This window comes from Homo sapiens, chromosome 1 (genome assembly GCF_000001405.40).
Source record: "Homo sapiens chromosome 1, GRCh38.p14 Primary Assembly".
Taxonomy (NCBI): Eukaryota; Metazoa; Chordata; class Mammalia; order Primates; family Hominidae; genus Homo; species Homo sapiens.
In genome coordinates this window covers 66,641,624-66,656,729 of record NC_000001.11, presented here as the reverse complement: position 1 = coordinate 66,656,729, position 15,106 = coordinate 66,641,624, and the positions used below count along the sequence as shown (strand labels likewise).

Below are 15,106 nucleotides of genomic sequence, written 5' to 3'. Positions count from 1 at the left end.
TATTTTAGGGACATTAGTGAACAACAGAAAAGGCCATAAAAGCTCCAATGGGTTTACATCTGGGAGCAGGGGAAGGAGAAAGATAATCAGTAATAAATACTGTCATGCATTGTATATGGATGCTTTGGTCAACGATGGACTGCGTATACGATGGTGGTCCCATAAGATTATGACAGAGTTGAAAAATTTCTATTGCCTAGTGATGTCATAGTGCAATGCATTACCCATGTGCTTGTGGTGATGCTGGCGTAAACAAACCGCCTGTGCTGCTGTATTATTAAGTACAAATACTTGATTATATAAATGGCTGTTACTGGTTTATGTATTTACTATACTATTTATTGTTACTTTTTGAGTATACTCCTTCCACTTATAAAAAACAAGTTAACTAACTGTAAAACAGCCTTGCGCAGGTCCTTCAGGAGGTATTTCAGAAGAAGGCATTGTCACCAGAGGAGGTGACAGCTCCATGTGTGTTATTGCCCCTGCAGGCCTTCCAGTGGGATAAAAGGTGGAGGGGAAAGACAGTGATGTTGCTGGTCCTGACCCTGTGTAGGTCTAGGTTAATGTTTGTGTTTGTGTCTCAGTTTTTAACTAAAAAGTTTAAAAAGTGAAAAGAAAAATTTTTAATAGAAAAAAGCTTGTAGAATAGAGTATAAAGAATTTAACTATTATAAAGTATTAAAATACCTTAAATACTACAAAGAAAGAGTATAAAGTATTTTCATACAGCTGTACAATGTTTTTGCATTAAATGTTATAACAAAAGAGTCAATACATTTTAAAAAATTTAGAAGTTTACAAAGTAAAAGAGTTATAAGGCTAATTTTATAAATTTAGGGTAGCCTAATTGTACAGTGTTTACAAAGTCTGCAGTAGTGTCCAGTCATGTCCTAGGCCTTCACATCCACTCACTGGCTCACCGAGAGCAACTTTGAGCCCTGCAAACTCCATTCATGGTAAATGCCTTATACAGGCATACCATTTAAACAAATCTTTCATGCCATATTTTTACTGTACTTTTTCTATGTTTGGATACACAGATACCGTTGTGTTACATTTGCCTATGGTATTCAACATAGTAACATGCTATACATATTTGTAGCCTAAGAGCAATAGGCTATACCATGCAGCCTAGGTGTGTGGTAGGCTATACCATCTAGGTTTGTGTAAGTGCACTCTGTGTTGTGCACACAATGATAAAATTGCCTAACAACAATTAAGCAACACACGGCTGTGTAATAATTAAATAAGGAAAGTATTTAGTATTTTAGAAGACGGCAAATGCAATTTTAAAAAGTAGAGCAAATAAAGGGGTTCAGGAATTCCAGGGCAAAGGGTTTTGCGATTTTATATAAGGTGGGCAGGGTAGGCTTCCTTGAGAAAGTGACTGAGCAAACAGATGAAGTTGTTGAGGGAGGTCACAATACAGCTATCTAGGGGAAGAGGGCTCCCAGGGAGCCAGGGAGTAGTGGAAGGAGAGGGAAGAATGGCAGGCGTTAGTCTAGGGATGGGGGAATCTTGACAATGAGGCTCTTGAAGACCACCGTGAAGATTTTGGCTTTACTCTGCTCCAATGCGGCTTATTGCTGTTACTTATCAGGAGTTCTGAGGTGTGGACATTTAGTAACTGTTGGTGTTGAGAAGAGGCATGGATGAAAAAATATCAGAAAATACCTGGTTATGATATGTGCTGTCATTTGTCATTCCTCTTTGGAAACTCATTTTGATTCTCCCTGTGCTGTGTTTAAAAAATAATGAAATAAAGATGGGCTTCAAATAGGTTACAAAGTGGAAAGGAGTTTCAGTTGGGCAAAACACACTGAGGCCAGTCCATCTGCCCTCTGTCTCTGTTGCCCACATTGGGACAGGCAGCTTGGCTGGCAGGCACAGCTCTGCACCTCTTCTGTGCTGGCTGCTATTTCAAGCTACAGCTCCAAGGTCCATGGGCAGTTAGAGGCTGTCCTTTAGACAGACATAAGTCAGAAGGAAATATCACCTTCATTCTGTTTAGAAAGGACATTCTCCCCAGTCTTTGAGGAAAAATTTTTTGACATAATTAATATGAGTGATTCACACTGTAAGATTTTTTTTTCTAAAACAATAAAAAGTACATTTACTGCTGTAGACTGCTGCCACTAAAACAAAATCTCCTTCAGAGGGCAAAGGGATAGATTTTTTTTTTCTTATACTGTTATGCTTATTTATACTATTATTCACATATTTGTAGAAACTCCTTAGTAAAAAAATAAGTATAATTGTACAAGAAAGATAATCATTGATAAAGTGACCCTCAAGGTTGAAGACAACTAAATGACTGAAAACCTCAGGCTTTAGATGAGAAAACAATCTCACTGGATGTGCACTAGGACCCACAGAAAAGAACACATTAACAAACTTTTTTAAAGAACCTACACATTGTAGAGGAAGAAACAGGAAATTATTGATCTTATTGTTCACCCATCAAGTAGTGAAAAAAGAAACTTGGTTAAGTTGAAGAGGAAAAGATCAAAGCAACTGAGACCATAAATTTGCTCTATTTGTAAAATAATGCAAGTAATGTAAGTTGCATTATAGCAGAGCTAGATACGGCATACATTTTATATAATGTCCCGTGGTGCATCCATCCACCCAGACAATCAACAATTATTTTCTAAGTACCTACTATGTGTCATTCACTGCTGTGGGCCCTAGAGAAAATGCCTCCTTAGAGAAAAAGTAGACAACCTACAAGCTCTGGGTGCAAGATTTGTTGTTAGAAACCCAACATTCAGTAAACTGTTCACAAAGTAGGCTTCTGTAAAAAACTTACTTTCAAAATTGGTTGCTTCTTTACAGAGCACATTCTACCCTGACTATGGCCCTTAGCTAATCAAAATAGTTTTAAATTCTAAATGCTACTAACATTTAACATCAAGGCAGACCTTAAAGGTATAAAAGTTAGCGTTTTTTGATTGCAATTAACATTATAATAAAAAACATGTAATTCAATAATTTGCTACTTCTACTGAGGCCATCCTAACATTTTATACAATGTGTCAATATTGTGAGTACACAGCCTTATTCAATGAAATTTTGATTTTGTTACAGAAATTGAGTGTTTGTGATCTCCAACCATGGTGATCATGTTTCCAGAACCCTCAAATCAGGTCAGCTTGCCCAGACAGTATAAAATGATGTAGGAATTGTGTTTATGCAAGAAAAATCTAACCCTTACATTTCAGGAAGAGAGCAAAATACCATCTACTGAGAAGGTACAACCAACATTAATTGGAGAAATCATGACAAAGGCACTCCAGGTTGAATACTAAATATTCATACAGCTCAGGGATTTCTTTTTACCAGAGTAAGGTGGGCATGAAAGGTGTGGATTTTAAATGTCAGGAAATGGAAGCAACAGAAAATTTCCTAGGGAAAAAAAAATCAGTAATGAAGGAAAGAAAAAGCATGTATCAGATACAAAACTAATTTTCTGCACACAGTCCATGGTTTATTAAAATGTTGAGAAGAAAAAAATATATTTTGAAAAAGAAAATTTCCACCTATTTTCCCATCTATCCTCTATGAGTCCTGGGAAAAACAAAAGTTGCGTCTCATGTGTTAACTCTAGCTGATTTTTGTCCAGCTGCCTGCAGGTCTGTCTAGAGGGGGCTGGCTTCTAAGCCCATGTCTGGGATTTAGTGGCAATGTCTGTGGAAGATTTGGGGATGGAGTGGCAGTTTATATGCCCCATGTTTGATATCCCTGGTATAGACCAATACAAATCACATTTGCCCTACGAAGCTTTCCTTGATGAGTAGAACTCAAGCTGAACCTCTGCCTTCTAATTTACTAAATAAGAGGTCTGGGCTGAGTGCCTTGCATCAGAATGCATGCAATCTTTAGCCTCTCCTTGCACTGTGCACTGCTTCTACCAGGAGAGAATGCTGGTGTGTAGGAGACTGGAGCTCACCTCCTCCACTGATGACTCTTTGTTTTCACTGAACTCAATGGGGTGCTGAACCTTCTGCTGAAGTGAGGACAGGAAAGGGGGTGGTGTTACCAAGCAGCGGCAAATTCATGAATTTTGCTCTCTGGCAGGCTAATTTGGGGGTGGAAGGGTGGGTGGGCCACATGGAACAGGCAAACAACACCAGACTGTCTCCAGTTCAAAGCTATTTCCCCCTCCTCATATTTTTTTGGTTAAAAAGTTATGCATTGCAAATCTCCAGGATGAAGATTAAACTAATTGTTCCTTCATGACTCAATGTCAGATTCTTTACTTCACTGTACCACTTACTTTCCAGAGGAAGGGAGAAGGCACTAGCCTACACGCCAGGGTAGGTCAGCTCCTGCTCTCACATCATTTCTCTCAGCCCTTGTGAGTTTGCTCAAGTCCTCCCTCGCTATTTTTATTTTCCTTCTGCCTCCTACAAGTCTCTGAACTTAAGGAAAAGGAAAGCAAAGCTGAGAAGGTGATTGATATTTAATGGCACCTTTTCTGGGAGACAGCACTGAACTGGGTATTTTACAATATTTTCTCATGTCATAAGAAGGTAGACACAATTTTTTTCCCATTTTACAGCCATGAGATCTGAAGCTCCGAGTTGAGGAACTCGCCTATGACCACACAGATAATAAGATATATACTCAAAAGCCTGTGTTCATTCTATTTATCCTTGTCTCTTGATCTTTCTGTGCTGGTTTCTCCGTAAAATAGGGGCATCACTACCTCCCAGATTGCTTAATAGTGCTGCTACTCATTTCATCCTTTTGATCATGACTGGGCATTTATAAAACATAGCATTATTATAATATGCCATTGACATAAAAAGTGCTTGCCAATTGATTAACTGATTAGGGGAACTGAAATAAATGAGCCATATAAAATGGACATCATTCCTTAACATTTAAAACAAAAGTGCAAACAATCTGCATATATAATAAGATAATTTTAATAAATGAGAAATCACATATCACACAACAGCATTTAAGCCTGACCTGGCAAGGTGTCAACTCAGCCTCGCTCTCCTGTCATGTGGTACAATATAGGAAGTGCTGTACCATAGAAGACTGGATGGTCTTCTATGGGTGGATGTGGATGAACTCAGTGGGGAGAAAGTCTGTGAGGTGGGCCCTTTGGGCTGGGATTATGGGCCCTTTGAGCATCCATCGATATCCTTCAAAGAGTTTATTTCATGTGAGCATTCAGAAATTGTATGTAAAATATTTTGAATGAGCTAGTGAACTTTTTTTTCTAGAAAGAGAGTCAATGGCTTTCATCAAAACTAGTGTAATATAGTGGTTAAGAGTTCTCAATTAGAAACAGAACTTTCTGAGTTTAAATCCCAGCAACTTCAGTTACTAGCTGTGATGCTTCGAGTGAGATAATAAATCCCTCAATGTCTCAACTTTCTCATCTGTAAAGTGGGGATATCAATAGTACTGATCTCACAGGTTGTTGGGAGCATGAATGAATTAATGTATGTGACACACAGCACTCGTGTTCACAGCTGCCACTACCAAATTCATCACCATGATAAGTTCTCAAAGTCATCAATGAGCTTAAAGGATGACTTTGATATTTTATTGTTATCCTGATTAATAATAGCTATCATTTACTAAGCACCTCTTTTAGACCTTACATAAATTTACTTACAAAGTACTAAGCACCTTATATGCATTCCTTAATTCTTACAAATATCCTATGAAGTGGGCAGTATTATTAACCTTATTTTACACTCGATTAAGCCTTGACTGAGGCTTAAAGAGTTAAGCAATTTGCTCAGGGCTACATGGATAATAAACGGAAAGTCAGAATGCAAACTTAGTTCTGACTTACTCCAGAGCACAGTATCTTAATCAGTAAGGAACAAAATGCTTGTAGTTAAAAGACACCTTCTCAAGGTAAGCCAGAAGGGATTATTGGCTCTCTGAAAAACAAAAATAAAGGAATCCATGGGAGCACATTATAAAAGGAAAAGATCACATCAAAGATTAAACCATAGCATTTGTCTTCTCACTCCCACAAAAGCCATGGGAGCCACAGGTTTTAAGGTACCTGCTGAGCACAGCACATGGTGCAGATGTGTCAGACAGTGCTCCGTGTGGGATTTGGAAGGAATGGAGATGTCCGTATCTGAGACCCTAGGAAGGGTGAGCAAGCCAGGAGACCTAGAAATGGAGGCCAGGGGGAATGTGGGCTGCAGAAAACCAATCAGGAAACTGAAGTGAAGACAGGCAAGCGTTTGAACCACAAGAAAAATTTCAGCTTCTGGTTGCTACTAGATGTTGTTTTCTCAGACTGTTCAGTATTTCTGGTATTAGCTCTCAGTGCCTGCTACATGGAAGGTGCTCAACATATATTTTGTGAAATGATTTGAAGGGGGAGTTAGAAATAAAGTCAATTATCCATGATGCACAATGAAGTGTGCCATTGTGAATGTTAGCCTTCAATAAGTCTCCCGAAGAAGTACCATATGTATTCAGGGGATGTTGATGGTACTCAAAACAATTTAGGGATACTTCCTTCTGGAATTGTCTTCAAAAGGCATCACAAAAAACACCTTTTCCCAGTTTGATGCTTTGGGTAATTAATGGGTAATTAATTACTGGTCTTGGCTCTAAATTACTTTTGGAAATTTGAGTTATTTATCACTATTAATGATATTCTTTAAAATGTGCCCTAGGCTCTATAGCAATGAGACAATCTTTACATGTAGCTTCTATTAGGAGTACTTTACATACATTAAATCATTCAACCCTCAAAATAGCCCAATGAAGTAGGTATGGGAGTCACCCCATTAATAGATGAAGAAACCAAGGCACTGGGTTTTCAACATACCAAAAGTCATCAACTAAAAGGAGGTAGAACCCTCTTGTTTGAGTAATTGGGACATCATTGGAGTAAGTGTCATTTCTTTTTCCCTCAAATTATCTTAAAGGGAATTGTATTCAATTCAATTCAATTGTATGTTGAATTCTGACTTTGGTTATTTTTTTTGTGTGTGTGCATGTGTGTGTGTGAAGTCATATTTCCTTATAATTAATTCCTGCACTGATTATTTTATTTAGCCTCCTTCAAAAATTATTTTACTCTTTAAGAACAAAGCCTTTTCTTGTATGATATAATGGAGGTTTGCTTCTACCCTAAATGTAAAGAGTGTGGTGTAAAGGCAAGCAAACCACAGAACTGTTCGTGTTGCATCTGTCTCTATCTCCTCCTTTAGGGAGAGTGGTCTTTACACTGCACTAGCAGAAAGAGATGACCATGGCAACAACCACCCTGTAAGGTAGCTGTTTGTTTGTCCCATTTCAGACAGAAAGAAACTGAGACTCTCACTGAGGTTTAAGTACCTTACCTAAGCAGTACTGCTAGCAAGAGGCTGAGGTCAGGGCTGGCACTTTTCCCACTGTACCTCAGTTCCTTCAGGGGGTATGTACAAAGTTTCTGTTTGTGTTTAAAGAGAAATCAACCATAATTGTCCAAGATGGAGAAAACTAACTTAAAAGTAGTTCCTCTAAAAGGCAGATCAGATTTGGCTCAGAATTAAAGTCTGAGACAGGCAAGAGAATTCCAAGCTGCTTTAACAGAATTCTAGCCTCGAGATGTAGATACATTTTAACCCAGGACATGAAAACACAGTATGCTGTTAGGTCAGAAGGCTGAACATGGGGAAGCAGAGCATGACCCTCAAAAAAGGAGAAGTGGTTTTTTTAAAAGAATCTAGGTTAAGTAATGAAGAAATGAACAATTGCAGAGTACCAATTACACATCATGTACTGTTATTAGGATCTTCTGCACAAAAAGTCCTTAAGGATTCTTATCATCCTTCCTTTACAGTGGCAGAAATGGAGGATCAGAACAGTTATGGGGCTTGTCTAAGGTTACACAGGTAGAAAGTGGTCGACCTGGGCTGGGGCCCAGGACAATCTGAATCTATGTGATATGTGCCTTCTGTTACTACACACTGGCTTGTGATTAACCCAAAATTCTAGAACAAAATATTTAAACAGATAGCCAGAAAGCACTTGGAAAAGAAGGTGATAACCCTAGGTGCCAGCGCAAAGAAACAGGGCAAACTGAACCTATCACTCTCTCTGATAGGGTTTCTGGCCTGGTAGGTCTAGGCAATGCCATAGACACCCCAGGTCTCTCAAACGCAGTGTTGTTCTGGAAAAAAAGAATGAAAATATGTGCCCAGGATTAGGGCACAGTTAGGAGAATCATTGTGTGGTGAACAAAGGAGGCTGAAGGGTGTTATCAGTGGATGGTTGTAAAACTGGAGGGTGGTGACATGCCATGGTTCTGTGTCCTTAGCCTGGTTCCATTCATGTATTTGTTCACTCACTCACTCACTCACTTGCAAGCATTAATTGAATGGCAATGACACACTAGGCCTTATGTCAAGAACAGAGAATTTGGGATGGACACCAAAATGCACCATGCAGAATCTTCTTCAGAAGGTTTCCTTGCACCAGTTGCTGGGAGGGCTATTGGCAGCCTTCAACTGTCAGCACCTCAGGATCTGCCTCAACTGCAGAGAGCTACCTAACCCAAGGGCATGCCCCTTCCTAGTGTGGCCCACATCAGAGCACTGACTGGTTGAGCAGTATCAAGGTTATTCATCTTAGCCAAACTCACACTAACTCTGAAGGCTCCTACTAGTTCCTGAGTTTCCCTGGGATCAGCTCAGGCTGTTGTTCGTTGTGTAAAGCAGCTCAACTTCTCCCTCTGCCCACCCCACATCACAGGTATTAAGTCCAAGGTCACTCCTTAAAAAACATCTTGCACACTGAACTTGGAGTTGGAGTCATTCTGCTTCATTGAAAACTCACTGGTAAAAGAAGGGGCTTTACCATTTGTTCATCCTTTAAAGAGTACAACTACAATCAAGGACAAAATTACATATTTGGTTTAATAAAAGGAAGACTTTTCTTTCAGCAATGGAACAGCCTGCCTTAAAAAACAGTGAACCTGCATAAACAGAGGGACACTGGAGTGTCTCTGTTCAACCTGTTGTTAGCTAACAAGCAGCACGGTATCACTAGTATTTATAAATTAGTGATTAGAAAATTATTTTAGAACATTCTGGATTTAATAGGTACTGGGAATATTTTAAAACATATATGGGAAGAAATCCCGTTTCCTAATGAACTCTCTGAAATAATCTGAGATTACTTAATTCTAACCTTAAGATGCAGATACAATATAATTCAGGACCCAGTGGAAGAAACTGTCAAAGTCCACCAATAGCCATTTGTTCTTTTGTCTTTTAGTAATAAAACCCCGAATGTTAGCTGGCTACTACATGTTTATCTAGCAAAACACTACATTTTCCAGACTCCCTTGCAGTGAATGTGTCCATGTGATTAAATTGTGGCAGTGGGATCTGGGTGGTAGTGATGCGCGCAACTTCTGAGTTAAACTCTTAAAGAAAACCACTTGCTTTTTATTTATTCTTTCCTCCATCCCAAGGCTGGTGCATGGAAGTACTTGCAGTGGTAAGGCAGCAGTGCTACTCTAGGAAACGAGAAGCAATAATGCAGAAAATTCCTGGGTTTCTGAATGACCACTGGAGTAAGACTCTTTTACCTCTGGACTGTCTATCAGCTTTGACTTTCACTTGGGAGAGAAAGAAACCACCTATATTGTTTAAGCCATTATTATTTTGGTCTCTGTTAAAACAGCTTAACAAATATTCTAACTTACACAGATGCCAAATCAACCTGACCAGATGGCAAACCTGGGTGATGTTCATTCTTTGCCCTGTAAGCTTGGTATCTTATCAGCAGGCTGGAACATGATAAGAAAAAGAATTATTATCCTTTACCTGTGAGTTAACTCCTGCATTAGCCTTCTGCCTTTTTGGTGCTCTGCCTTGTCCTGGCCAACATTATATTTTATTTCTATATCAAAATCAAGGGCTAAGGCAAAATCTGGACTAAAATTTTGTTTATTTGTCTAACTGTACAATAGGATTGTTGCCAGCAATTAAAATCTTGATTTGTCTTGCTTCTGACACTTTGTCTTGAGAAGTAAATTTCAGATAAGTTTATATTGTATATACATATAATTATATGATTCATTCATTCCTCCCATTTCATTTCATTCGTTAATTTGACCGCCCAATATATATAGCGAAACTATTCAAGTATAATAAAACCAATTCATGATAAAAGAGATCAAATTGGTTATAGTTCATGGATACATATTAACAAATAAATGAAAAGAATAAGTGAGGCACGACTTTATCTTAAAAACTTCAAAAGAAACATAAATCAGAAGTCCAACGTAAACCATTGTTATGAATAATTTATTATTTGAAATTTCCTCATTTCTATTAATGTAATGATTGATGCTTTTGTAGTATAAAAACCATAGTTTAAATAAAATATTCTGATATATCATTAACTTGTGTAGACCCTATTTCCTTTTTAGTGCCTGAAGAAAGTATAGATGTATAATTGTCTGCTCTTTTGGCTGGAGACATGAAAGTCCAAAATCATTGTCATTTTGATCATGGCACCAGCTGGATTTTAGGTTATTTCTGCTTATCTGGCTCTGGAGAGGAAGTGCTGCATATGTCATTTATAAAATATATGTACATGGCTGGGTGCGGTGGCTCACACCTGTAATCCCAGCACTTTGGGAAGCTAAGGCGGACGAATCACCTGAGGTCAGCAATTCGAGACCAGCCTGGCCAATGTGGTGAAACACTGTCTCTACTGAAAATACCAAAAGTAGCCAGGCATGGTGGCACGTGCCTGTAATCCCAGCTACTTGGGAGGCTGAGGCAAGAGACTCACTTGAACCCGTGAGGTGGAGGTTGCAGTCAGCCGACATCATACCATTGCACTCCAGCCTGAGCAACGGAGCAAGACTCTGTCTAAACAACAACAACAACAAAACTATCTATATCTATATCTATCTATATTTACACACGGGTTATCAAGGAGAGGGCAAAGATTCTAAAGCCAAGAATATGTTTTCAGTTACAACCTCTCTTTAAACTCATGTACATCCAGAAACCTGCTCACCTTTTCCTAAAGTAGTAACAGCTCACTCTTCCACACCAACTATGAAAAATTATAAATATTTAGGAATCACAAAAATAGGAGATCCAGGTTCTCACATTACAGGGAACAAACTGGAGGTGTGGGTGCAGGAATGGGAGCTGAGGGTCCCTTGGTCTGTGGCGTTGTTGGTTTGCAGAAACAGAGTAACTCCGAGGTCACTCTCTCTGGGTGTCTCCATCTAGTTTTCACTCTGCTTCCCTTAACATTTTTTCATCAGAATCTTAACCACATCATGTCAATATATTTCCTTAAAAATAGATGTTGAGAAGAGCTTAGAGTAAACCACCACATTTTGCTGCATCCTTAGCAATGTATCTGGTTGGAGGAATAGCTACCAGAAAACTTAGGCATACATATTCCATTCAAAAGAGGGAATCTCTTCCTTCCTGGATTCAGCTACATTCCGGCAAACATCCACTATGTTTCTGGGACTGTGCCGGTACATTTGCTTTCACATAAATGTGTTCACTTAATCCTCTGAACTTGCCTTCTTTTACTTACCCCAGGTAGCTTCCAAAGGGCCAGTTTATTACACAGAGAACAAACTCAGAGAAGTGAATAAAATAAACTGCACAGACATGGCTGTAAACTGGTTTTAGACATTTAAGGAGATTTTCAGTAAAAAATATTATTCAGTAAGTGAAAAATAATTTGAAAGATGCCACTGAAAAGTGAAAGAGTGTGCTTTTAAAATACCACCATTACTAGAACTCACAGGCCAATATGTAACTTTAAAATCTGCACCTTCCATTATAGAAGGAAAAGAAAACTAATACATTTCATGCTTCCCTTTTCAAGAAGACATCTTAAAGTAGCAGGGGAGTATATGATTAAAAATCACCTTAAATATTATTTACTGTGGTTAGTTTCTCTTAGCAATCATTTTGGTTGTTACCAACAGTAGTGATCAAGTCCATTATAAGCATTAAACACTAAAGAAAGCGTCATTATAGACACTTTTCATCCCAGGGAGGCAAAAGTTTATTCTCAAAAGATGGATGATTACAATTCATTTAGAAAGGTTAGTTGAGATGTTTCCTGAAGCATCTCGAAAATGGTTCAGCATTTATTAACTGCTCTGTTCAGGGGGAATGCTGTACGAGATCACATCTCTCTAAAGAAGATGCCAAGAACACATTAGCTGCCAGTTTGAGAGCCTTCATCTGTTCCTCACAACCATTTTTAGAAAACAATGGTGGCATTTATCAAACAGAGAAAAGGCTGTACATGTTGGAACCCAGAATTCAGCAATTAAAGAAACTTAGTAGCTGGGAATTGGGGAATGAAAGTGCAAATTGTGCAAAAATAATCTCTTTTTTTTTTTTACCCCAAATCTTAGCTTGTCTGTAGGAAAATACCTACTTGAACAATATAAATAGGACAATACTTATATCTGAGGTACCTTAAAGATGAGATTATTTAAGTCAATTTGATAATACAATAGAATGAAGGATATGAGTTTTAAATTTGATTTAGACTATGATTTGGATTAGTTTTTGGTTTTAGAGCATAGCAATACAAAAAATAACCAGTTTCCTTCCACGTATTTTCATGTGGTGTATCATAAAAAAGGAAACTAAGATGTGTTTTTAAAAATCACTGTTAGCAAATCTGTGAACTTCATGTTGTTTCTAGTTGCTAAGTCTGCATGAGAGATAATTCTGGATAATCTTTTTATTTTTTTTTCTTTTTAAAATGCTTGCAGGAAAATAAGTCAAAAGAAAATGTGGTTCCATATATTTTTCACCTTTTTGAAAAGCACAAGGACTGCAATATAAAATAAGTACAATTTTCTCAAGCTAGAATGAGCTTCTTAGATTTATAGAATTCATGATATGGTGACCATATGCAGGCTTCAATTTAAGGAGTTTCTGATTGACTTAATGCATATAGGCAGAACATAGCCCTGTTCAATCTCACTAAAGCTTAACACACACACACACAACACTCACCACTGGTGATGGGGAAAGTGCGATGTTGCCTATTGATGCCTTCAATTCATCTACAGTTGCAGCATTCTTAAGAATGTCTTTAGATTGCAATGGTTTAATCTTGATATTAAATTTCTTATGTGATTCTTCTTCTTCTTCCGATTCACTTGAAGAATAAAAGTGCTTTCCTTTGGTAGGTAGAACACAGTTAAAGATACATAACTCTTTCTTCTACTGGGAGGCAACGACTCCAAGACAAGAGCAATTGCATATAGAGACAGCAAAAGTATCCTTAGATGGCAGAAAATCAAAGCAAAACATACAAAAGTAAAGGAGGAAGGGGTTAGAATTTATTCACCTTTCCTCAGAACATGATCAAGGATGGTGAATTTCAAGAAGCAATGGTTCTAATATCCTACATTTTTGCTGCAGTTGACCATTTGTTGTGTCATACTCAGCACACACAGACAAGCACATGTGAGCTTACTCATCTACAGAGAGAGGAAGGCTGCTTTATGAATGATCCTCGATGAGTTTTAAATGCATCAGTGTGACATGCTTTGCCCAGAGTTGAATTGTAGGGAGAGGACAGTAAGAGCTATTTTCTAGTCACTGTAAATGACAGTCATATCAGGGATTAGCGTTTTTTTAGCACGTTTTTCTCTTTCTCCTCTCTCTTTTCTATGAATAGATTAAGGCAAAATGCCTGCTTGCTAGAGCTCAGGGTGTTCTCAGTGCTGTTTATTCATCTCTAATATTAGGGATAACAGGACTTGTGAAGATTCGGTTATTTTATTACTTTTGTAAAATCTGAATTTATCCTACTGTTTTCTGAGAGTGAATGAAAATTAAAATAAAAAAATAAAGAAAGGATATAGCCGGGTTCCTCGGGTCTGATGCTGTAGCCTTCTTCATCCAGCTCAGGTGAGTTCTATAAAACACAAGTGCACATGAAGTAATTATTATCCTAACAGTGATCAAGAAATTATTTTTTTTCTAGAGTCTTCTATTTAAGGATATAGAAAAGTCTTTTCTTTTAGGAGATGAAGTTTTTACTTTTGGAAGTGAATTCTGAGCAATATGTTTAGATATTTACTCAAGGATACTTGGAGAGTCCTCCTACTGGGAAAATAAACGAGGAGGAATCAACTGTCAATGAAAGAAAGCATTCAAGCAGAATTTAACATGCATTTCCTGTAAGCCAAGGACTGTGCTAAGCAACATGGGTGATAAGAAATGTAGATTATTTGTCCTCAGGGAAATTGAAGTGTGTTTCGGTAGGTAAAAATTAAAAAGAAAATACAAAACACAAAACACCTGTGTTAGACAGGGTTCCAAGAAAAGGAAATTAGTGAGGTTTAAAAGAATCAGGGAGGTCTTTATGGGTCTTTCAGGACAGACAGGAGAGGGCAGAGTAGGAGCTCCTTCTAGGTGGTAAGGAAGAGCCTGTTCAGAGACACCAAGATGGGAGTGGACACTGGGTGACTCAGATGGGGAAACAGAGGGGCAACAGCAAGGATGACATGGCTGGAGAAGAAGCTGCACAGCGGGAGATGGGGAGATGAGACTACGGAGGCCAACAGGCCAGGGGAAGAGTTTGGACTTGAGGTAGCTACTGCAGCTTCTCAGCTAGGGTGGTGCATACTGAAAGCAGAATCTTAAGGAGTTCTGGAAGTATGTTCCAGGATAGCCTTGGGGCAGAAGAACTGGAGAAAGAAAAACTAATTTAAAACATGTGCATCGATTCAGGCAAGATGTGCTAAGGATATGGATAGAGTTATTGGTGGGATGGGATGAATCAAGGATGTTTGAAAGGATGGATTGCTGGTTCTTGGTAACAGATCAGTCAGCCATAGGAGAAAAAGCAGAGGGAAGGTTAAAGAGGAATCCAAGATTTCTACCCTCAAATTGTGGGAGAGTGCTGGTACTCCCAGTTGAACTAATTCTAACAGCAGACAACTAACATTTTTTGGAAAGAAGCTGAAAACATAAAAAGGCAGTTTGCATTGTTGGGATTAGAATGATCATATTTGGATTCTTATTATATGGTAAGCATTGTGACCCATATTTTACCTCACTGAGCCACATAACAAGCATATGTGAAAAGAATTATCCCA

At 38.3% G+C, this 15,106-nt stretch overlaps 1 protein-coding gene across 55 annotated transcripts in view, besides 1 other annotated feature; it reads right to left on the bottom strand.

Moving 5' to 3' along the window:
* The window catches only part of SGIP1 (SH3GL interacting endocytic adaptor 1), a 217,779-nt gene that overhangs the window by 94,410 nt on the left and 108,263 nt on the right, over window positions 1-15,106 (bottom strand). For all 55 annotated transcript variants that reach the window (XR_007064415.1, NM_001376535.1, NM_001376549.1 and 52 more), the window contains 2 exons: window positions 13,866-13,920; window positions 13,011-13,186 (listed from right to left, as the gene is read on the bottom strand). Coding sequence is in view for 54 of the 55 variants with exons in the window: in NM_001376535.1 (NP_001363464.1) it covers window positions 13,011-13,186; window positions 13,866-13,920 (231 nt within the window). In the remaining variant the exon portion in view is untranslated. The remainder of the gene's footprint in view (window positions 1-13,010; window positions 13,187-13,865; window positions 13,921-15,106) is intronic.
* Window positions 7,426-7,595: an enhancer, noted in NCBI's record as "active region_1166". NCBI's record gives its function as "activates an Ori minimal core promoter by ATAC-STARR-seq in GM12878 lymphoblastoid cells {active_cell/tissue: GM12878}" and the evidence as "EXISTENCE:reporter gene assay evidence [ECO:0000049][PMID:35858748]".